This window comes from Homo sapiens, chromosome 1 (assembly GCF_000001405.40).
Source record: "Homo sapiens chromosome 1, GRCh38.p14 Primary Assembly".
Classification (NCBI taxonomy): domain Eukaryota; kingdom Metazoa; phylum Chordata; class Mammalia; order Primates; family Hominidae; genus Homo; species Homo sapiens.
Genome location: NC_000001.11, coordinates 60,848,719 through 60,871,361, shown reverse-complemented (window position 1 = coordinate 60,871,361; position 22,643 = coordinate 60,848,719). Strand labels below are relative to the sequence as shown.

The 22,643-nt window shown below is 37.8% G+C and overlaps 2 annotated features.

Annotated features, from left to right (window-relative positions):
* Positions 819 to 1,019: a silencer, noted in NCBI's record as "peak258 fragment used in MPRA reporter construct". NCBI's record gives its function as "represses an SCP1 promoter by STARR-seq MPRAs in K562 erythroleukemia cells {active_cell/tissue: K562}" and the evidence as "EXISTENCE:reporter gene assay evidence [ECO:0000049][PMID:32103011]".
* Positions 21,399 to 22,229: an enhancer, noted in NCBI's record as "OCT4-NANOG hESC enhancer chr1:61314805-61315635 (GRCh37/hg19 assembly coordinates)". NCBI's record gives its function as "activates a minimal SCP1, AML or CMV promoter by ChIP-STARR-seq in naive and primed H9 embryonic stem cells {active_cell/tissue: H9 hESC(naive and primed)}" and the evidence as "EXISTENCE:reporter gene assay evidence [ECO:0000049][PMID:30033119]".

Genomic DNA, 22,643 nt, shown 5'->3' with positions numbered 1-22,643 from the left:
GAAAAATGGTCACATATTCATCTAGAACTCTCTTAAGCCAAATCAACAAATACTTATTGAGGGCAACAGAGGTGAGCAGAGTGAGGTCAGGAATGATAATTCTCAGCATGGTTTCCAGAGCACGGCTCTGCAAAGATATACGACACAGTAAAAATCTAGAACAGTGTTTTGTTTTCGTAATTTATTTTTAATTTTAAATGATCTGATGGCATAAGATGAATCCTTACCCTCTTGTCCTGATCTGCTATTTCATTCCCTGCTAAGCACCCATTTCATCATATATGCTCACCTGGAACATTCAGACCTGCTGCCACAGTTAGAAAGATTCCTTTCTCAGTTGGTGCCAAAGGGATCTCAAAATGGTTTTGAATGCCTGTTAGATTAACACCCTCACTCCTTATGGGTACCCTTCTCTATTCATTCACTAATATGGGTGTTTGGAATTTGAGGAAAATGGACTGCATTAGGGCTACTGCAATCTATTTTTCATTTTCAAAATAGTGCGTCTTGCTTTCTCCCTTACAGTATTTCATTGTTTGCTTGGTTTCACAGAACTGTTTTGGTAAGAAAGTTTTGAGAGTATCCTGGGATTACAGTCTTTGAATGAACTTTCATACCCATAGTATAAGCCCCTTTGGTTTAAAACTATCCCACTTAAAAGCGTCTACTTATAACTACCAGCTGCTGGTTCTTTTCTGTTCCTACTCATGAATGCACATGCAGACACATACAGATACATGTGCATGCCTGGTTGCGCGTGTACACACACACACGCACACCCTCACATGCACTGTATATATGTAAACATCCAGAAGAAACAATGCATTGTAAAAATTGTCCTGTTGAGTTTGTAATCTAGAGTGAGTTACTGAGTGCTGATAAGTAAAGGAAGTGCAACCAGACAGTTTAATCCTCCAATTTCCTGTCTTCTAATCAGCCCCTGACTCTTTTGGTTTTAAATTAGAAACATTCCTGTCAATATTCAGTACAGGTGAAGGAAAATCAACTAGAAAATAAGTAAGGACAAAGCATTTATTTCACTGTCTAAAGTTCACAGGGGAAATATGAGTATAACAACAGGAAATCAAGATTTTTAAAAAGATAGTAGAAGTACATAGGCTTGCTTAAGTAACCAATCACAATTCTGAATGAAGTACATTTGGATCGTAATTTGATTTAAAGAAAAAAAAATAGGAACATAGTTCAATGTATCCCTAAAAATAGTAAATGGTACTTTAAAAGATGTTGTACAAGGCTAACCTAAAAGAAAATGATAAGGATAACTTCTTAATATATGTGAGAGGGAAAAAAAACCTATCCCATTCAGATTTTGCTTGCAGTCTGCTTATACTGTGAGAAAATAATGTTGGAGTGTACAGAAATCTTGTAAGTTAATGCATATTCTTAGAAATTAATATACTTACATATATTTATAATGGTCGATAAAAATTGTGCATTTAAAAATAAGCTCAGGTAGAGCCACTGCACTGCAAATATCTGCAAAATATCTGTGAAAATACTTAAAAATAGAGTTTGCAAATGCATTAAATAGAAAGTGTATAAATATGTTTACCATGGACTCTTTAAAAATATGCTGAGTGCTGAGAATATGATATGGTTTATAATTTATTGAATCTCCTCATTTTGAGTCTTTTTATTTATAGATATTTTAGCAATTTCCTAGTTTATCATAAAAGCATAAGTGCAAATTTATAGACAAATCTCCATTAGGCAATATCTTCAAATAATTATAACAAACAATCATTAAGAAGAGTTGTTCAGCTGAGAATTTTGAAAATTGAAATGGTAAATACAACGTAATATGTGAATCCAACACATCTTAACAACAACAAAGATTTCCGTGAAATATGTGTTCTTAATTTTGTGTCTGCAGTGGTTAAAGCTGCCAATCATTTGGGAAGTAGGCTGGAGTTGAGTTTTTTTTTTTTTTGAATTGTTGAACATAGTAAGGCAGTATTTCATAGAAGTATCTTGCTATTTTTTACATGTGTACTTTAAAAAGTAGGCATTTGTACCACAAGGCACAGCATATTCTTTTTGCCCAAGTGTTTTCCTGGTATGCAAAGTTTGAGTTGTACAAGTTTGAGTAAGTGACAGACAGTTCTTGATTTTAAAACTGTATGTCAAATTTTTGAAAGAGAATGCTCCCAAAATAAGTGCTTCAGGACCTAGCATGGGGTGAGGGGGCTGTAGGATAATTTAGTTGCCTTCATTTCACAGTCACTATGAGTTTTTAAATTGGAGGGCAGAAGCAAGACAAGTGCATTTTGTAATTCACATAAAAATAGTTCCATAACACATTGTTATCATTATGAAGAGGAGAATGTTCATTCTGCCTTCATTTCATGCCATATGGGTAGAATGGAGATAATTCTGCTGGACAGAATTATATTTTGAAGCAAATACATGCTTCTAGGGTGCCTCCATTTCATTTGGAGCTGAGGAAAATTTCATGAGGGTTTTCTTTAGTTTTCTATGGGAGAGTTTCTGCTAGCGATGTCACAACACAGCTAGATTAAGTTGATATGTAATATCTATTTCTTGATTTGCATGATTAAAGCATTAGAGAAGTGGCTCAGATATCAAAAGGTTTCTCATAAGTGGCAGCGCCAAAGGTAATTACTGTTAAAATGTACATGCTTGAACCCTGGTTGCTTGTTAACTTCTAAGTTGTTTACAACTCTGTGGGTTTGAATAAACTTTTTTATTTGACTTTTCAATATCAAGACCCCTTTCTTGCTTCATTTTGATATAAAACATGTATTTATCATTCTTATATCCATGTCCCTCAAGGCAACCTTAGCTTCAACCAAAAAAAGTAATGGAGGACAGAGATGGCCCTTCTCCATATTACATATTTTAAAATAACTGTTTCTTAAACAAAAGTAGTCTTTTAAAGACAAAGTTAAAATTTATACCTAAAAAAATTAAAAATTAATCGAGTCAACCGATTATTTCCAGTTAGTTATCAAAAAGTGTAGCTAAAGCCCTACTGTAAGCCTGAGTGAGTTATGAGAGGGGGTGGGGATAGAGAGGAAAAGAGGGGAGAGAGGGAAGGAGAAGAGAGGTTGTTATTCTCAGTCTTTTATTAACCAGTTTCTTTCATCCTAGTGTGTCTTTATTATTTAGAAAAATAAAAATGATCCAGAGCTCTACTCATTCTCACCTAAAATTCTGGAGTAGGTAATGACTGTCTACAACCTGGTACAACATATGCCCCCAAACTAAAACAAACAAACTCATTTGCCATACAAATTGTTTACGATTCATTAAAAAGCAAAATTGCATATCCCGTCGCTGGCAGCTGAGGCCGCGTCTCCACGGGCGGAGGGGGCATTCACTGAGTTGCCTTTGTATGCTGGGAGGACCAAGCCGGAGGTTCCCACTATGAGCCCGGAGTCTGTGCAGCCAGATGACGCATGAGGTAATTTTAAAGCTTTATTTGCCTTTAGTGTGAAACTCCGATCTTGTACTGTCCTTTGATTAAATAACTATATCAGCCAGAGGGAAGTTTAAATTTTTCTTTCAGCTGGGGAAATTGTTTGGGATAGCGAGGTGGGTGAATGGAGGGAGAGGGAGAGCATGTTATTCAAGGAAAGAGATCTAAGAGAAAATGTGAAATTTGTATTATTTTAATTAGTTCCCTCCTCCTTCATCAAAGTCCTCAATTTCCCATCAATAATGGGAAATTTACATTAGAATTATTGGTAACTGACAGATCTGAAATGCCATGGTATGTGGTCACCTTTGAGGGAAAGAAACAAATTGATTTATTCCCTATGATAACTTGTATAACTTCTTTAGAGAGCGCTCTGATTTCTCACTCCTTTTCAAAGCAAAGATCTAGAAGCACTGAAGTTGAGAGAAACTTCCCTGTAGTGTGCAGCCTAAACAGCAGCATGTGAGCTTTCAACATTGTTTATTTTTAGGCAACTGCATTGCTAAATGTTTCCACCACTTTTATATGTTATATTCCCGGCGGTAAAACATCTGTAAAATAATTTTAAATGAAAAGCAACTTCCAAGTAAACTTTACAAAAAAGAAATTACAGTTTTCCAAGTTAAAAAAAGAGAAGCATTTGGTGATCTTTGCAAGAAAAAAAAAAGAGAGAGATGACACAATTTGCCATAAAAAGTAACAGTCTATAAAATCTATGAGCTGTTGAAATACAAGGAAGTAAAATGTTTCACCCAGAATATGACATCAGCGTGCAGTTTTTTCAAAAAAAGCTTACAACTTAGAAAATCATTGCTAAACCAATCAGTATATTCATTTCTAATGTTTAACAAGCTGTATAAAGTGAAGCAATAGGTAACATCATAGCATACACAAGTAAACCTTGTTCTTGCTGGCAAGAACTCTAATGGGAAAATAAGTGCCCTGAACAAAAGTTCAGGGTCAAAGTGGATAGTCTACTGTTAGTCTAATTAGCCAAAAGCTGCATGCAACATTGTCCTGAAATTACTGGTAAAGTTTCTAATGTCTAGTTAAGAAATTACAAGTTAAAACACACATGTACACACATACCCACAACCACTTTAACTCAACAGTCCTTAGGATGGACATACTGCATCCCAAGAAGCAGCCGGATAGAATCCTGCGGTAGCTCACTTTTAACAGTCTCTCAGTCCTCCGAATTCCTAAAACTTGCCAAAATGATACCACCATTGGTCCAGGAAGGGGAAAAGAGAACTCTTTCTGCAGATCATACAGTGAAACCGACCATGCCCTGTTTTGTAATTCCATTCGCCAGTCTCCCCCTTCAACATCTCTCTCTCTCTCTCTCTCTCTCTGTTTTTTTCTTAAACTGATATCTATGTGAAATGAGCTGAAGTTCACGGTCCAGTTAGGAACGGATAATACATTCATTGTCCTGGCAGCAAACTTTTTTTTCACTCCCTGGAAGAATTCACGCTTGCCGCAAGAATAATAATTACGGAAAACTAGAAATGCACTGCTAACAAATTAATCCTTAACGGACACCACCCTAACGAGGGCAGTAATGATTTGAGGACTCTCTTCCTCACGGGACTTGCATCTCCTGTGACAATGAGCTATTGTGCATCCTCACAACTCACTCTACCTCTTATAGATCCAAAATGTCAAAGGTTGTCTGTCCTGGTTGACCATGACATGTGAGTTAACTCATTCTGCTGCTGCATGGCAGAACTTTATTCAAACTTTATTTATATCCAGAGTAACTAAAAGATAGAGTGTGTGGGTCTTTTCCACTCAGAGCTAGAGTGCCTAAGAGACAGAAAACCTGCTCTGACATAAACGGAGAAAAGTTAGATGAGAGCTGTGGGACCCTGATGGAAAATAGGGAGTGGGGACCCAGAGTTCTCTCACAGGTGACTTTAGGCAATCCAGTTAATTGGCCAGGACTAGAATTCACTCAGAGGTTGCTTCTCCCTAGTGCCCAACACGCGTCCTCAGAAAATGCCACAGCCAGAGAAAACCATACACCCCATAGTCCCTGAAAACAAAAGTAAGGGGGATGTGAAACTGGAGAGAGGGGGCAAAACCTGAGGGCTGGGACGAATGTTTCACTTTTTCCCCCAATACTGACTTGGCTAAAATATCCACCTCCACCTTACAACTGATACTCTTTAAAAAAGAATTAAAAAAAAATAGAAAACCCCAAATACTGTCCCATGGAAAATGAGGGCAAGCATTCCTGGGAACTCAAGTCGCAGAGTGGCAGAGAGAGGATGGCAAGAGGCAGCAGTGTGAGGCTGCCTCACTGAATAGTGTGAAAAAAATCAAATGTGAGTTTGATGAATGTGAGGTCTGGGACATTTTGTCAAAGAGGGAGGGAAAGTAGAAAAGGAAAAAAAAAAAAAAAAAAAAAGCAGCCCCGGCTGCCAACTCACCATCCACCAAGTTCTGGCCGAGATGTCGTAGCAGAGCTGCCATTTGATGGAGCCGTCGGAAGCTTTCCCTGCCATTACGCTGTCAGCAAGCTTCATCTGATGCTAACTCACGGGAGATAAGACACCTAATTGAGAAAACATTTGCAGTGGCATGTGGGGCAACATGTAGTCCGGTCCATACCATATGGAATCATGGGTAAAAAAAAAAATCTCCTTGACAATGAACCAATCTCTCACAGACCCAGTGGCAAGGTGAAGTGGAGATGAAAAGTCTTCTGCTCCTAGCACTGTCTTCTCCTCTCTCCTTTTTAAAAAAACAAGAGCCCACTGCTACACATCAAAGGGAGGTAGTTAAAATTAGGGCTTCATCACTCAGATGATTTTGGTCTGCGGGGTTTTTCCTTTCCTTCCAATAACCAATCCCCCCCTCTTTTTTTTTTTTTTTTTTTTAAGGAGAATAAAGAGATTTAATAGGACAAAGGCAGGTAGTGGACTGCGGAGGGAGATCGCCACAGGCTATTAGCCTAAAATTTCTGCTTGACAGATGGAACTGCTTAGAGACTATCATGCAATGTTTTGGGCTTTTTCCCCCCTATTCACCCCCCCTTCTTTGACTTTAAGTCTGATTCAGTATCTGTTTTTCACAGCCACTTTTCTCAAGAACGTGAGCCGTGCATTTACAAAAATGTTTAGTTCAGTTTTGCTGTCTTACACATCTCTGTTGGAAAAGTCTCAAACTAAATCTGGGAACAACTGAACAGGTTTTCCAAGGAGTTAAAAAAAAAATTTCCAGGAAAAAATATTTCTCTTTCCTTACTTTATTTTTTGAAAATTAACTCATTAGTTAATTTAGTCATGAAGGAAGATAAACAAGAGATGGCAGCATTCAAGTCTCTTGATTTTTGGTTTGGCTGGCATTGTGTTTAGATGTATGATTTATGTGAGTAAATAAATACATTACTGATATTTTACAAGTTCTAACCTATGCTGGGCTAGGCACCACCGATGTTTTTTGGTGTCTTTTTAAATACATTAATTTTGGACTTTTCCATTCTTTGTAAACAAAGCAATCAGTCATTATCAATTCGGTTTAGCACAATTCAGGCTAAACTTGACATGAGCTCTTCCTTAATCAGAGAAAGTCACTTCTGATTTCCTTACTATAACCTAGCCATCTTCTTCACAGGGGTTTTTAACCACACATCCTCTCTTTAGTATGGAAAAGTAAACCACAATATGGACCTACCAATAAGAATGGTTGTAAAAATAATTTTTTTTAAAGTGAGAAAAAGTCCAGACAGTTGCTGCATTTCAAGTAATGTTACTTAGGACTAAGAGGGAGAAAGAAGCAGAGAGAATGACTTGTATTCGTTATATTCTTTCAAATTGTGTGACACTAGGAACTGTAGAAATACCTTTATCAGGGTACCAAACACGTCCTAATTTTCGTGGATGTGCACCAAACACATCCTAATTTTTTCTGAATATAAGCGATCCTTTGATCTCCAAGAACCTACAGTTTTCTCCGCTATGGGCCTTCAATATATGTACTCCAGAATATGGGAGAATTGTCCATCACTATTTCTCAGGGCTGTTGAACTGTGATTATTTAAAAAGTTGTGCATTTACTGCCTAATTATCCAGTGGATTTTTGGTTCTGGTCATATTTTGGACTGAATAATATTTAGATAAACTCATTCAGAGCATATTTTAAGTTCCAAAGAGGTAAATTTGGTGCATTTTTCTTTCCTATTTCTGATCTCTTCCTTAGTAGGTATTATTTTAACCATTTAGCATGCTGTTTTGACAAAAATAACTGTATTAAAGCAAATTTTATCGTGTTGCACCAAAAATATTTCTAACTTAAAGCATGATGCACAGACTGCTTCTAGGAATGAACTACAAATACAACAAATATGGCATTTTTTTTCTTTTTCATTCCTTATTGTAATGGGATTTCTTCTAATAAAATTGGGGTGAGAGGCGATAGCCAGAATTATTATCAAATGTAAATATTGTCATCACTCTTAGGAAGTATCTTTGTATACTTTATTACCTTGGTGTCACCTGTCTTTTCAGAAGAAGAGTCTGCAGTAGCACAGGAAATGTTGTTAGCTTGTGTCCAATGAATACAATGGACATACTACCAGAAACTTGCCCTGAGCTTGCCAATGAAAACATTTATTGCCATATGTAACTGCAGCATCATTAAAATTACTTAGTCTTTCTTAAGTTTATCATTTAGAGAAAGATAAGGAAAAAAGTTGGAAATTCTACATAAAATGTAAAATATCATCAACCAAACAAAAAAAGGAGGAAAAAAAAAAAGAAGAAGAAAAGAAATGAAGTAGCATTCTGTCTTTGAATCAACCAACCTCTGATTCTACTTCATCCATTCCTACTTGCCTCTGACAAGCAGACAAAACAAAATTTCCCTGTTTTAGGGTCTCCTCTGCTTTCTCCCAGGGTATACAGGCACATGGACATCTTGGACTTGTGGGTCCACAGCTTTACAGTTTCTGAGTTTATCCTGCAGCAACCTCTGAAGTTGGAGCTGTTTCTTGTCTGAGTCGCTGCATTTTTGAGACTCAGAACACCCTATGCATGCCCATTATTTATGAATGAATGGAGCACAAGGTAAACTGGAGTCCAGATTTCACTCTGTGAATGATAGAATAGCCGGGAAGATTTTGCAGGAGAGGGCACATAGTTTGAACAAAAAAATGATAAATATTATTGGATAATAGTATTTTAAATCCAGAACAATTAGGTGCATTTAACTTTATCATTGTTCTCTAAGAGGCTGGTGGAAGCTGTCCTTCCCATGCAGCAATCAATCTTTTCACAGTGTGGCCCTTTGTTAATAGCCTTTAAAAAAGATTAAATAAAACATGTTAAATATTGCAATTATTGTGGGAAATAAAATTATTTGGTGAGCATAATGGGGAGCAATTCAAGCATTTAACATGATCCAGGAAATGCTACTCCAAACAATTGCATTTGCTTTATGCATTTTTCCCCTTTGATTGCTGACAGATGCCTTTTTGGAAACAAACATCTAAATGGTTTGCCTTCAGTTAGAAAAAAAATGTAACAGAAAGCGGCTACATGTTTTGAATTTAACTCTTGTCATTTGAATACTTCTTCCCACTGCGCATGAATGAATCCAAGGCAAAAACAGCGCTCTCATCAATAAATAAGCCCATCAAAATTTGGCCTTTCTTATTTCCTTTCGGTATATTTTATAAGAAGTGGGAATCCCCCTAGATAGGGAGTCAGGTGATGAGGACTATTTCCTGAGTAACAATGGGGAAGCATTAGAAAGGGAATTGTCTCCTTATAACATGCAGCCTCAGGCAAAGTGCAAGTCACTTTCCAGCCTCATTCAGGTCATCATGGCCAGTGCTCCCCTAAATAAGCTATCCCCTTTTGCTGAATGGGAAGAACCCAAGAAAACTCAGAGGATGGTGAATTTCCATCTGTGTCATTGCTGCAGTGCATTCCGATAAAGGCCTCGAAGACTCTGCTGTCAACACGTGTACAATAGCAACGCCAAGGAGAGGTTTTGGTTTCTGTTATATATTGCTAAAAGGAGATATGATTTGAAATATTCATGATTTTCAGAGGCTGGGTCGTAGAGAGATTGAGAGCACTGCTTCTGCAATCTAGTTGTCCATATCCAGGCTCTCTTGGTTACTGTGTGACCTCTCCCAGGTTACTTAACCACTCTGATTCTGTGTCCTATCATAATCAGGAAAATGAAGATAATAATAGTTAAATGTGCGCTTGTGTGTGTGCATGTGTGTGTGTAGTGTAGTTAGAAGCAAAGAAATGCATAGGGTACATAGTCCCTGATATGTAATGAGTTCTCAACTGAAGTTATTGTGCTGTTATTGATGTCTTGTTACTATTATTCCCCTGTTGAGGGAAGCCCTCTTTCTTCCCCCTTCTGCTCCTGTGCTGTGAGGGTCAGTTGGATCCCTTCCCTCTGTTCTTCCATAATAACCTGTGCCTTGCTCCACTGCAGCTATTAGCACCCTCTTCTGGAATCATCTGCCTGCTAGTCTGTTTTCCCTCCTAGACCTTGAGATCTTTTTTTTTTTTTTGAGACAGAGTCTTGCTCTGTCGCCCAGGCTGGAGTGCAGTGCCCCAATCTCGGCTCACTGCAAGCTTCGCCTCCTGGGTTCATGCCATTTTCCTGCCTTAATCTCCTGAGTAGCTGGGACTACAGGAGCCTGCCACCATGCCCGGCTAATTTATTTTATTTTATTTTATTTTTATTTTTAGTAGAGACAGGGTTTCACCGTGTTAGCCAGGACGGTCTCGATCTCCTGACCTCGTGATCTGCTCGTCTCAGCCTCCCAAAGGACCTTGAGATTCTTAAGGGCAGGGACTGTATCTTGCTCATCTGAGTAGCTGTAAGGCCAAGCACAGTGCTGGGCAGAGTAGGGGCTCCCTACGTGGTTGGAGAATGAGAATAAAAAGGCACAGGACATTAGCCACTTTGAAATTTGCATCCTTCTATTTACACAGCCTTGTCTTTTACCTTGGCTCAAGCTATTGCCCTCCTGGGACATGATCTCCCTTTCCAAGGTAACACCCTCCTCAGGACGCCAGCTCACAGTGACCCCTAACACGTTTGGTGCCCTGCTGCCTTCCTTATATGCACCATCCATTAGTACTACTTTGCATCAACTGACTGTATTATTATTTGTCTTTGATGAAAATGTGTCTTTCTTTCATTTATTCACCCATTTAATAGCAACATATGTGATTCAGGCACTAAAACTTATTTTCTCTTTCTTTTCAAGCTCTGTTTCTAGGACCATTGGAAATTTGAAAGTCTAGGGGAAGAGCAATTTGATTTCGTATGTAACAGCTCACGTATACTGAGTGTTTCCTCTTGGCCAGGCACTGTTCTAAGATCTTTGTGTGTGTGTGTGTGTGTGTGTGTGTGTGTGTGTGTGTGTGTTTTTCCATGTGAGTCCTTATGAGGTAGAACCTATTATTAACTCCATTTTACAAACAGGATAACAGACTCCAAGAGGTAAAGTGACTTGCTTAGGGCTCCAGAGTTAGTGATGGAAGGAGGATTCAAGCCTTGGAATGATGACTTCAGAGCTTCACCACTCTGGTGTTGCCTCCTGAACCAAAAAAGGAGAGAAGTAACAGGATTTAGCACCTGTTACATGTCATACAGTTTTTAAACACACTTTTGGGTATGATATGTTGTTTAACCTTCACAACAACCATAGGAGGTTGTTATTACGATTTTTAACTTGCAGATCAGGGTCAAAAAGGTAAGAGTCTTGGCTAAAGACACATGCTAAAGAACAAGAGCCAAGATTCAACCCTATGTCCATATAATGAAAAGCCTATGCTTTTGCTATTCCAACCAGCTTGTTCTCAGAAGACAATTTTTATTTTTTATTCATTTTTTTGGAGATAAGATTTATCTGTCACCCAGGCTGGAGTACAGTGGCCTCGAACTCCTGGGCTTGACTGATGTTCCTACCTCAGCCTCCCAAGTAGCTGGGACCACAGTTGTGCACCACCACACCTGGCTAATTGATTTTTTTTTTTAGAGAGACGGGGGCTTGCTTTGTTACCCAGGCTGGTCTTGAACCCCTGGTCTCAAGTGATCTTCCTGCCTTGGATATTTTTTATTTCTTATGTAGAGTTGAATGTTGAGCTTAACAGATATGTATGGCCTTGAATCACCAGGCTCATGGAAAACATGAAATTAGAAATGTACCCTGTTGCTGAAGCTGCAGAAATGTTCAGTTTAGAGCAATGGGTATCCAAGATTAAAAAGAAAGAAAAAAATAGAACAGAAAATAAAAGCTGTATTAAGAGGCATTAACTACTATTAACACCTAGATCTTTCCTCTAACCTTAATCAGGTGGAAAATCCTAAGATGGTGTTCAGGCCATCACCATCTAAACCTTCGAGTCAGGATGTATTCACACGTTAAGTATTGGGATAAAAAGAAGAATCAACACAAAAGGATAGAAAGTCTAGTTCCTCTAAAGCTCTAAAGTGTGAAGGTCTCTGGTGGGAGATTTATCCTTTTTTGATGAAGGCAGCAAAATCCTCTGCACAGGTACATGTCATTACTGGGTGTGAGTGTGGTGACTTAAAGAAACCAGCATTCCAGGTCACCTGGCATGCTTTTCTCACCGTATGGCAGAAGTGAATGCTGCAAAGCTGAAAAGGGCAGAATTGAAGAAAATGCCAGAGGGTCCAGACAGCCCCATCTATTTTATTAATTTGCCCAGAGATTGCTCAGATTTTTGATCTGGTATATATACATATATGTAGATATGGATATATATTTATTGCTCAATCAATCTATCTGTATTGTGCAAGGAAAATATTGATAATTTATTTTTGGCAGAAACTCACCCACAATGTCCTGCAAAGAATCAGTTTTCTTCTTGGCGGCAGATCTTGTGCCTCATTTCCATTTAGAAATTCTTTGACTTTTACTTTCTCTGCATTTTCTGTTAACCGGCTGCCACCCAAGATTGGACTAAACCCTCTGCCCCCTGTTAAAAAAGAAAAAAAAGGAAAAAAAAAAACACATACAACATAACCCTCTAATAAGTATATTCACAACTTCTATGCAAGGCGCTTAAGAAAACTAAAGGTTAATATATTCTAACTAGATGTTGGGTATAGAATGTCAGATCTGTCAAATTTCATTACAACTTGCTGCTCATTGGAAAAGATTTGATTTCTTTTGCCACTGTCCTACTATGTTCAAGTCACAGACTGCCAGCAGCAGCCCACAGAAGACCACAGGCTGGCAGTGAGCGGGCTCGAGTGGGAAACCAGCCGCAAGGACCATCTGTTTCCGATTTCTAGCTGAGCCAAGATGTGCAGTGAAGTGCATTCCATTCACCAGGCCAGCTTCTCCCCTGCTCAAGTTATTAGTGTTACAAGTGAAATTGTCTTTTCCAAACAGCAGGGGAGCTATAATCCTTATGGAACAGGACACTTTAAAACACACACACACACACACACACATGCACACACACACACACACACACACACACACACACACACACACACACCATTCAGATATCTTTTGTTAAAGTTGTGGGGAAGGCTGTTTGTAAATTTAATTACAGCCTTCATGGGGTTTATAAAGTACGTTTTATTAAGCATGATAACCTCTGAGGCAGCAGCATATACATTGGCCTCATTTAGTGTAATTGAATGATCAAATATCTTTAGGATGCTTTTTGTGGGCATGCTTAAAAATGATAAGGATGTATTTAAACCATCTTAAAATGAAATGGCTTTCAAAAGCATAATGGGTTTTTAGGAATAATCAATGGAAACCCTTGCCCAGCTGGCCCAAGTGAGCCAATCTCAAGCACATTGACAGTGCTGAGGCTTGTCAGCCAGCTATTAAATCCCAAGGGGGCCAAATGACTCATATCACCATGTAAGTTGGGAGACCATAATAAGCTGCATGTTTGTTATTTGAGATTGATCTTCTGCCTGTCTCAAGATGAATAATTTTTAGAAAAATTTGGAGGCGAAGTAGCAAGGCCGATTGCATGATAGTGTGATAGAAATAGCAATAGGAGAAGTCAAGAGACCTTAATTAAGTAATGTTATAAACTTGTATTTAGTAACAGGTACTTGCCATCATGCTAGGTGTTCAGGATATGAAGAAGAAAGCAATAGGGGCTGCCCTCAAGGAGCTCCCAACTCTCACTGAGGAGACAGAGGAGCAGGCAAGTACATTACGGTGTGGCAGAACCACGCCGGGGTTCTAGCCTTGGTTCTTCCACATGCTCGCTGCTTGACTCCAGGTTGTCACACCCTCTCCGCAAGCTTCATCTGAAATGGGATGGTGATGGCAGACTTTCAGGGACTGTTGTCAGAAGTAAATGAACTATAATCCACATAAGAGGACAAAAGTCTGTGATAGGCACTTAGGCAGTGCTCAATGTGTGTTAGTTTCTATTTCCTTTTAGTTATTCTTTGAATATGTGATAACCTTGTAAATTATAGCAGGTTTCTCCTTTGTGGATGAGTGGCACATTGATCTAGAGAGTATGCCTCATTCGTGACTCCCAGTAGAGGTCAACCAGCCTTAGACCACACATTCCCTAAGGGCAAGGACTGAAGAGGGTGCTGTGCAGAGTCATGAATAATAAGATGCTTAATGTGAGCTTTTGGTTCATGGTGAATGACAAAATGATTTTTCCAAAAATGAACTTTTTTTCTTTTCAAAGCAGAAGTCACATAAATTCATCTAAAATGAAGAGAGGGGGAGAAATATGATAAAGCCTCTTATTTTGTATTTAAGAAAATGAAGCCCAGCAGAGAGAATTACCTGGGGTCACTGAGCAAGTTAGTGACAGAGATAGGGTTCCAACCTAGAGACCCCAATTTTTGGTGTCTCTGCCACTTCACTGATTGTTTCACAGTGTTTGAAAGACGTGTTCTGAATCAGGTAATTCAATTGCATTCAGATGCATGTGAGTCCCTGCTGCTGCTGCTTCTGCTGATTGTGTTATAGACCTGGCAGTTGGATCATTGTACTTCACTTATGTTTACAGACAGAAATGGAGGTCATCTGGTAGAGTCCTCTTATTACATAGATGGGGAAGCTATGGGTCAGGGTCCCAGGTAGGTTCTCTGAAAGCAGACTTTGAGACTTGTATGAGAATTGTGAAGACCTGTGTGCAAGAACTTTATTGGGATGACCATCAGGATCAACACCTGCAGGTAAGTAAAGGAAGGAAAATTGGGCAGAGGGAGGAGATGGCTAGACGAAGTTCTAGCTAATCCTACAGGAAATGTGGAAACTGGGATGGCATTGCAGAACTGTCCCAAATTAGGGCAAGGGGATGAGGATACTGTACTCCTATAATGGATCACCAGCAATTGAATGAGAGCTATTTTCAGGGAAAAGGAAGAGACTCCAGGCTGGACAATTCTTTCCAAGCAAAGAAAAAATGCAAAGGAGTTTCAGCTGAGAGCTGTCAGCTACTAATATTCCTAATAGGTGGGAGGGAATCTCCATTGTTTGTCACAGGATCCACCTGTACCCAGAGAAATCAAATGGCCTACTTAAAGTTAGTGGCAAATTTGGGCTTAGAATTTATGGTCCATAGCTCAACTCTTTTCTCCAATGACAGTGAGTAGGCTTCGTGCCCTATTTGAACCTGGTAGATCCAGGAGTATCCCTTCTCCTTCAGAAACAACAGGGGATGGGGAAAGGAAGATAAGACAATGAGGGCAATGTTGGGCATTTCTTGGATTCTTCTTCAGTTGTCCAGTGATTGTCACCTTTCTTGGCAGATGCAAGAGTTCAGTGAATGAATAAAATAGATATTTGGAGTGTGACTCTGAACACCTCTCGTCAAATATTTGTTTGAGCCTTTAAAGAGTCTCGTGGTAGAAGCAGGTGTTGGCATCTCTCTGAGGCCTTGTACCTGTGAGGAAGAGGATTTGGGAGACGGGAGAGGAAGCACAAAGCAGCAGTGGAGTGAACCGCTGGTGTTTCTTATTTCACATGTTTTCATCTCAAAGAAACTCTCCCTTAGAGCACCCAGTCAAGAAAAGAAAAAAAGAGAAACCCCAAATCTGAAACATTAATGGTGTGTGATGATTAAACTCTTTGCTTCAAAGCAGTTCTTTGGAGAACAAACCCAAGCTTCCATAATCTCCTAAAAAGAGCAAATCTGTTTGATATGGAGCCGAAAGAAGGCTTTTAGAGTCGCTACCCCCTCATACCTCCACCTCCTGGCTCTTTAATTTCTTTTTTCTTTGTGTTCTCAGTGGGATTCTTTTATTTGTTACAACATTTTAAAAAGAAGCCATCTTAATTTTTGAGCCACTGCCATCTCTGCATTTCACTGGCAGTGAACATGATGTAAATTACTCAGGAATCCATGGGCACTCAGATTCTCTAGTTAGTGTCTCTTCTCTGGTCCTCGGTGGGACAAGTCTAGGAGACTAGTTTTTGCCTTATTCTTCATTGTCCCAACATAATGAACACACCCTTTTACAGGGGATCATGGACTGCCCCTCATGAGAAGTAGAAAAAGGGTTTCCACATCCATGTTTGGCAATTTTCCACCTTTTCCCTAATGGCCAGGTGTAGGTTCCTCTCCTACTCTCTCCACCTCTCCTTATCCTGTTCAGAGCTTGTATTTACAGTTAAGAACTTTCGTTTGTCTCTCCCCTACTTTCCTTTCTCCCACTTGTTCTTCATTCCTATATTTATTCAACTTCCCTTATAATCCATACACTGTGCTAATGACTAAGTGGGTACACTTATCACCAAGACAGAAGCTTACCTTTATGGCACTTGACCTTGGAGCAGACAGTCTTGTACCCAAGTTGTCCCAATTCTTTGTGATAGATCCTATGATGGGAACATATAGGGTGCTAAGAGAGAGCAGAAAAGGGGTACCTCGCTTAGTATGGAGGTGGCGGTAAGGGGGGGTTTGTTGCATTTCCTGCAACTAGTAACAGCGAAGCTACTTTGGTTTGAAGGATGACAAGGCGTATGGCAGATAAAGGCAGATGCTGGGGAGGAGGGGTAGAAGGAGTGTTGTAGCTAAAAGAATAACAGAAAAGACCTGAGGGAGAGTCTAGTAGCATCACACCCCTGAAAACTGTCCAGTGTGGCTAGAGATCCCCACATTTCCTGATCATTGTATTCTCCCTGAAGATGCATCTATAGTCCACCTACTATTTTTTATATGGCTCATGAACTAAGAATGATTTTTACATTTTTTAAATGGTTGGATAGAAAATGAAAAGAAGAGTCATATATTGTGACACATATAAATAATATAACATTCAAATTTCAGTGCCCATAATAAAGTTTATTGGACATAGTCATGTCCTTCATTTCTGTATCATTTATAGCTGCTTTTGTGCTATAATGGTAGAGTCGAGTAGTTATGATGGAGACCATAAGGCCTGAAAAGCCTAAAATATTTACTATCTGGTCCTTTACAGAAAAAGATTTGCTGATCCATGGCCCAGTGGATGGGGCTTGGGGCTTGGATTAAAACAGGCTTGGACTCAAATCCTGGCTGTTCAACTTCTACTGGTGTGACCTTTAGCAAATTTCTTAAAGTGTCCATGTCAGTTTGCTCATTTGCAAAATGGTAATAATAATACTTCACAGCCTTGTGAAGATTGAGGAAAATATTGTTATATAAAGCTCCTGGGAATATTAAGTGCCGAAATATACTTATTTATTAAAAATAGTTAATGACAATTTCAACTGCTTTGAGCTATTAATAACATTTGTGATAAGATAAATATGATAACATTTTGAACTGCTGTGTTCATTGCCATAATGACTGCTTTGGGAATTATCAGTCAAAAAATATTTTCTGTTAATAGATCAATGAGGAAAGAGAAAGTCATATTTGTGAGAGCGAGAGTCGAAAGCTGCTGCCAGAACTCCTCAAAATAATAATTACAGTTAAAATTAAGTGCCTGCAATGACACAATGCTGAGTACTTTACATGCATTGTCTCATCTGATCATCACTTCAAACCTATGAAGCAGCTACTGTCATTCATTTTTATAGATGGAGAGACTGAGGCTTAGAGGGGTAAAGTTAATTCAAGTTGCACAGACAATAGGAGGTACAGTCATGGCTGGAACCCAGGAGAGTCTAATGCCAAAGTTTCTGTCATAACCACTCTGCTTTTGGAAACATCTGATGAAAAGCAGAGATTCATATTTCAGGGCCCAAAACTGTTCCTGGTGGCTGGCACAGTGGCGTATCATTCTGAGTTGAGCTCTGTAGAAGTTTCCAGTTAGAAAAATGCTATTGCAACTGCCTATATTCACTCTTGAGTCAGTTTCTCAGAAGAAAGCCAGTGAGAACTACAACCAAGATTGTGTCTTGAGAGTTGTCTTATTAGGAGTGGTCTTGTATGTAATCTCTCTGTTACTTGGGTATGGGCACGTGGATGTGGCTATACTAGGGGTGGAAAAATGGGAGTATGTTTGGCTGTGTGATTGGGATAATATGTTGTAATTAATAAAATCTGTTTGGTCTCTAAGTATTATTTATAGACATGGTAATAAAAAATCAAACTATTACACACTCATACACAATAGTTTCAATTTGGTAATTGTGTGCGCATATGTATTTATTTTCAAAAAAGATGGGGAAGAACTATACCAAGATATTCAATAGGTATCTGCCTCTAGGTCAAAGAAATAATGGCAAATATTATTTTATCTATATTTCTATTTCCAGAATTTTAAATGATGTTTATGTAATTATGCATAAATAAAATATATGTGATTTGATGCTACATACCAAAAGACTTAAAACTCTTCAAATTCTTCAAATTCTTTTTTTTTGAGACGAAGTCTTGCTCTGTCGCCCAGGCTGGAGTACAGTGGTGCGATCTTGGCTCCCTGCAACCTCCGCCTCCCGGGTTCAAGTGATTCTGCTGTCTCAGCCTCCCGAGTAGCTGGGATTACAGGCATGCGCCACCACACCTGGCTAATTTTTTGTATTATTTTAGTAGATATGGGGTTTCACAGTGTTAGCCAGGATGGTCTCAATCTCCTGACCTCATGATCCACCCATCTCAGCCTCCCAAAGTGCTGGGATTACAGGCGTGAGCCACTGCGCCCAGCCAAAAATCTTCAAATTCTTAAACTCAATTCTACCTCTAGTATACTACCATACACATTGTTCAACCATTATATACACGGATATATGTTCATTTTAGTATTATTTGAAGTGGTGAACAAATTTAGAAAAAAATCTTCTGCATGGCATGACTACTTCAGAGCATATTATGTAGTCATGAAAGAAAATGTTATTTACAAATGGAAAATGCTTATGCTATAATATTGTGAAAAAAGCATGAGACAAAATTGAACATACAGAATGAGCACAATTTGGTGAAAACCCAACAATCTGTTCTTTAAGAGACAGAAGACATATTCCAGTGTTAAGAGTTGTTTATATAATTGGTAGGATTATAAATTTTTTCTCCTTTTTTGTTTCTGTGCAATTTCAAATGTTCGTTTAATTAATGTTAATAAATAATAAACAATGTTAACAAAAGTTCATTAATAAATAATGAAAACAACTTTGATATTAAAAAACCATTGAAACTGGAAATCTATTGGCTGGTGATTAGGCTTAAAAACTCCCTCTCCTTCCATAGCTCATTTGTGGGTACCTTCATCTGTTTCCTTTTATGGTTATCTGGGTGTTTTCCAGATTAGGCACAAGAACTTTAATGAAAATGCAAAGAACACTGAGCTGGGAATCAGGAGATGTGGATTGTAGCCAGGGCCATGCCATTAACTCACTGTGTGCTTCGGGGTGAATCCATTTTCCTCCCAGGGCCTCAGTTTCTGTGTCTATAAAATGAGGAGCTCTGGTTCCCTCCCACCCAACACAACTCAACACACACAGTTCTACTTTTATGGTTTTGTTATTGGGTTTACTGGAAAATTTTAAGTGAAAAATTATTCCTCTGTTAGTTAAAGTTTGAAAAACCGTTGGAATGGATGATCTAGATTAGTATAGATGACTAACTGCTTTTAGATTGTAGCTATTGTTTATATCTCTCTTTAAAAATTTATTTTTTATTGTGTTGAAAAACATAAAATCTACCTTATTAACCATTTTTAAGTGTACAGCATAGTATTGTGAACTATATACACATTGTTGTACAGCAGATCTCTAGAACTTTTTCATCTTGCATGACTGAAACTCTATGACCATTGATCAGCAACTCCCCATTTTTTCCTAACCCCATCCACTTTGAGGTTTTTAATTACCGATCCAATTTTCTTACTAGTTATAGGTTTGTTCTTACTAGTTTAGGTTTGTTCTTTTTATTTCTTCAGCATTCAAACTTGGTAGGTTAAATGTTTCAGGAATATCCATTTCTTCCAGGCATATAATTTGTTGGCATATAATTTTTGTTAGTTATATCTTACAATTATTGTTATTGATGTAGCATCAATTGTAATATTTCCTCTTTCATTTTTGATTTTATTTAGGTCTCCCTCTTTTTTTCTTAGTATAGCTAAAGGTTTGTCATTTTTGTTGATCTCTTAAAAAGCCAACTCTCAGTTTCATTGATTTCTTTCTGTTGTTTACTATTCTCTATTTCTGTTATTTCTGTTATAATCTTTGTTTTTTCCTTCATTTCTGCTATCTTTGGTTTTAGTTTGCTTTTATTGTTCCTTATAGTTCTTATAGTTCCTTAAGATATAAAGTTAGGTTATTTATTTGAGATCTTTCTTCTTTTTTAATGTAGGCATTTATCACCACAAACTTTCTTCTTAGTATGACTTTTGCTTATTTGCATAAGTTTTGGTGTGTTGTGGTTTTGTTTTTATTTGTCTTAAGATATGTTCTAGTTTTCCTTTTAATTGCTTCTTTGGTCCCTTGGTTGTCCAGAAGTATATGATTAACTTCATGTACTTGTGAATTTCCCAGTTTTCCTTCTGTTATTGATCTCTAGTTTTCATTCCATTGTGGTTGGAAATTGGTATGATTTCAGTCTTTTCAAATGTGTTAATACTTGTTTGGTAGCCTAATATGTGATCTATACTGGAGAATGTCCATGTGAACTTGAGAAGCATGTGAATTCTGCTGCTATTGGGTGGAATGTTCTTTATCTGTCTATTGGATCTATCTGATTTATAGGGTTGTTCAAGTTTACTCTTTTCTTATTGATTTTCGGTCTGGATGTTCTAGCCATAATTGAAAGTGAGGTATTCAAATCTTCTACTATGATTGCATTGCTGTCTGTTTCTCCTTCAGTTCTATTAATATTTGCTTCATGTTTTTGGGTGCTCTGATGTTGGGTGCATATACATTTATAGTTGATTTATCTTTCTGGTGAATTGGCCCCTTTTTATAATTATATGATGTCCTCTTTTGTCTACTGTGTCAGTTTTTGACTTAAAGCTTATTTTTTCTGTTATAAATATAGCTACCTCTGCTATATTTTGGTTACCATTTTCATGGAATATATTTCTTCTATCCTTTTCTTTCAGCCTGCATATGTCTTTAAATCTAAAGTGAGTTTCCCATAGGCAGCATATAGTGAGATCTTGATTTTTAAAAATCCATTCAGCCACTTGATGTCTTATGATCGGGAATTTAATCCATTTACATTTAAAGCAATTACTTATAGAGAAGGACTTAAGATTGACATTTTATTAATTGTTTTCTGTCTTGTAGCTTTTTGTTCTTTTTCTTTCTCTCTTTGTGTTGTCATTTTGGTAGTGACATGTTTTGAATCATTTCTTAATTTCCTTTATGTATCTTCTATGTGTATTTTCTTTGTAGTTAACATGATGCTTACACAAAACACTTATAGTTATAACAACCTACTTTAAGCTGATAACAACTTAACTGCAATCACATACAACTTTACTCTTTAACTTCTTTCTCCTTCACGCTTTGTGTTAACTCTTATACTATAATTAAAAGTGATTTATGGACCACCATTACAATATTCTGTATTCGTTTATAGATTTACCTTTACCAGCAAGCTTTATACTTTCACATGTTTTTGTGTTGCTCTTTAGCATCCTTTTCTTTCAACTTGAAGGACACTCTATAGCATTGCCTGGAAGTCTAATGGTGAGGAACTCCTTCAGCTTTTATCTGGGAAATTCAGTGTTTCTGCTTCATTTTTGAATGTCAGTTTTGCCATATTCTTTTTTTTTTTTTTTTTACTTTTAGCACTTTGAATATATTCTCTTATTTCCTGCTGGCCTGCAAGGCTTCTGCTGAGAAACCCATTGATATTCTTATGTAGAATCCTTTTCATATGGTGAGTAGCTTTCCTCTTCCCACTTTCAAAATTCTCTCTTTGTCTTTGACTTTTGGCAATTTGATTGTAATGTAGACTTTTACAAGTTTATCTTAATTGGGATCCTTTAGGCTTCTTTTATCTGTATGTCCATTTCCTTCCCCAAATTTGGGAAAATTTCAGCCATTGTGTCTTCAAATAATCTTTATGCCATTCTCAATCTCTCTCTCTCTCTTTCCCTCATTTCCTTCTGGAATAGCCATAATGTGTAATTAGTCTGCTTGATGGGGTTCCATAAGTCCCTTAGACTTTCATCATTCATTTTCATTTCTTTTTCCTTTTGTTCTTCTGACTAGGTAATCTGAAATGATCTGTTTTCGAGTTTGTTGATTCTTTTTTTCTGCTTCATCACTTTTATTTTTGAACCCCTCTAGTGAAATTTTCAATTCAGCTCTTGTGTTTTTAAGCTCCAAAATTGCTGTTGTTTATTTAAAATTTTTTCTCTTTGTTGATATTCTCATTTTGTTCATTTACCATTTTTCTAACATCTTTGTGATGGTTATTTTGAATTCTTTGTCAGGTACTTCATATAACTCTATTTCTTTAGGGTTGGTTACTAGAGATTTATTTTGTTCCTTTGATTGAGATATGTTTCCATATTTCTTTATGTGTCTTGTAACTATATTGGTATTCATGCATTTGAAAAACAGCCATCTCTCCTAGTCTTTACTCACTGACTTCATACAGGGAAATAACTTCACCAGTTATTTCAGCTAGAGGTTGTGAGGGCCTCTCACATCTTTTCTGGAGATGTGTTTTCTCTGGTTTCTCCCAATTAGAGAGGTTTGCAAGTTGTTTTTTTCAGAGCTTGTAATCTCTTGCTCCCTCTGGTGTCTATCTGTAGTATTATAAGTTTTCTGGTGCAACCACAAGCAACTGAGTTT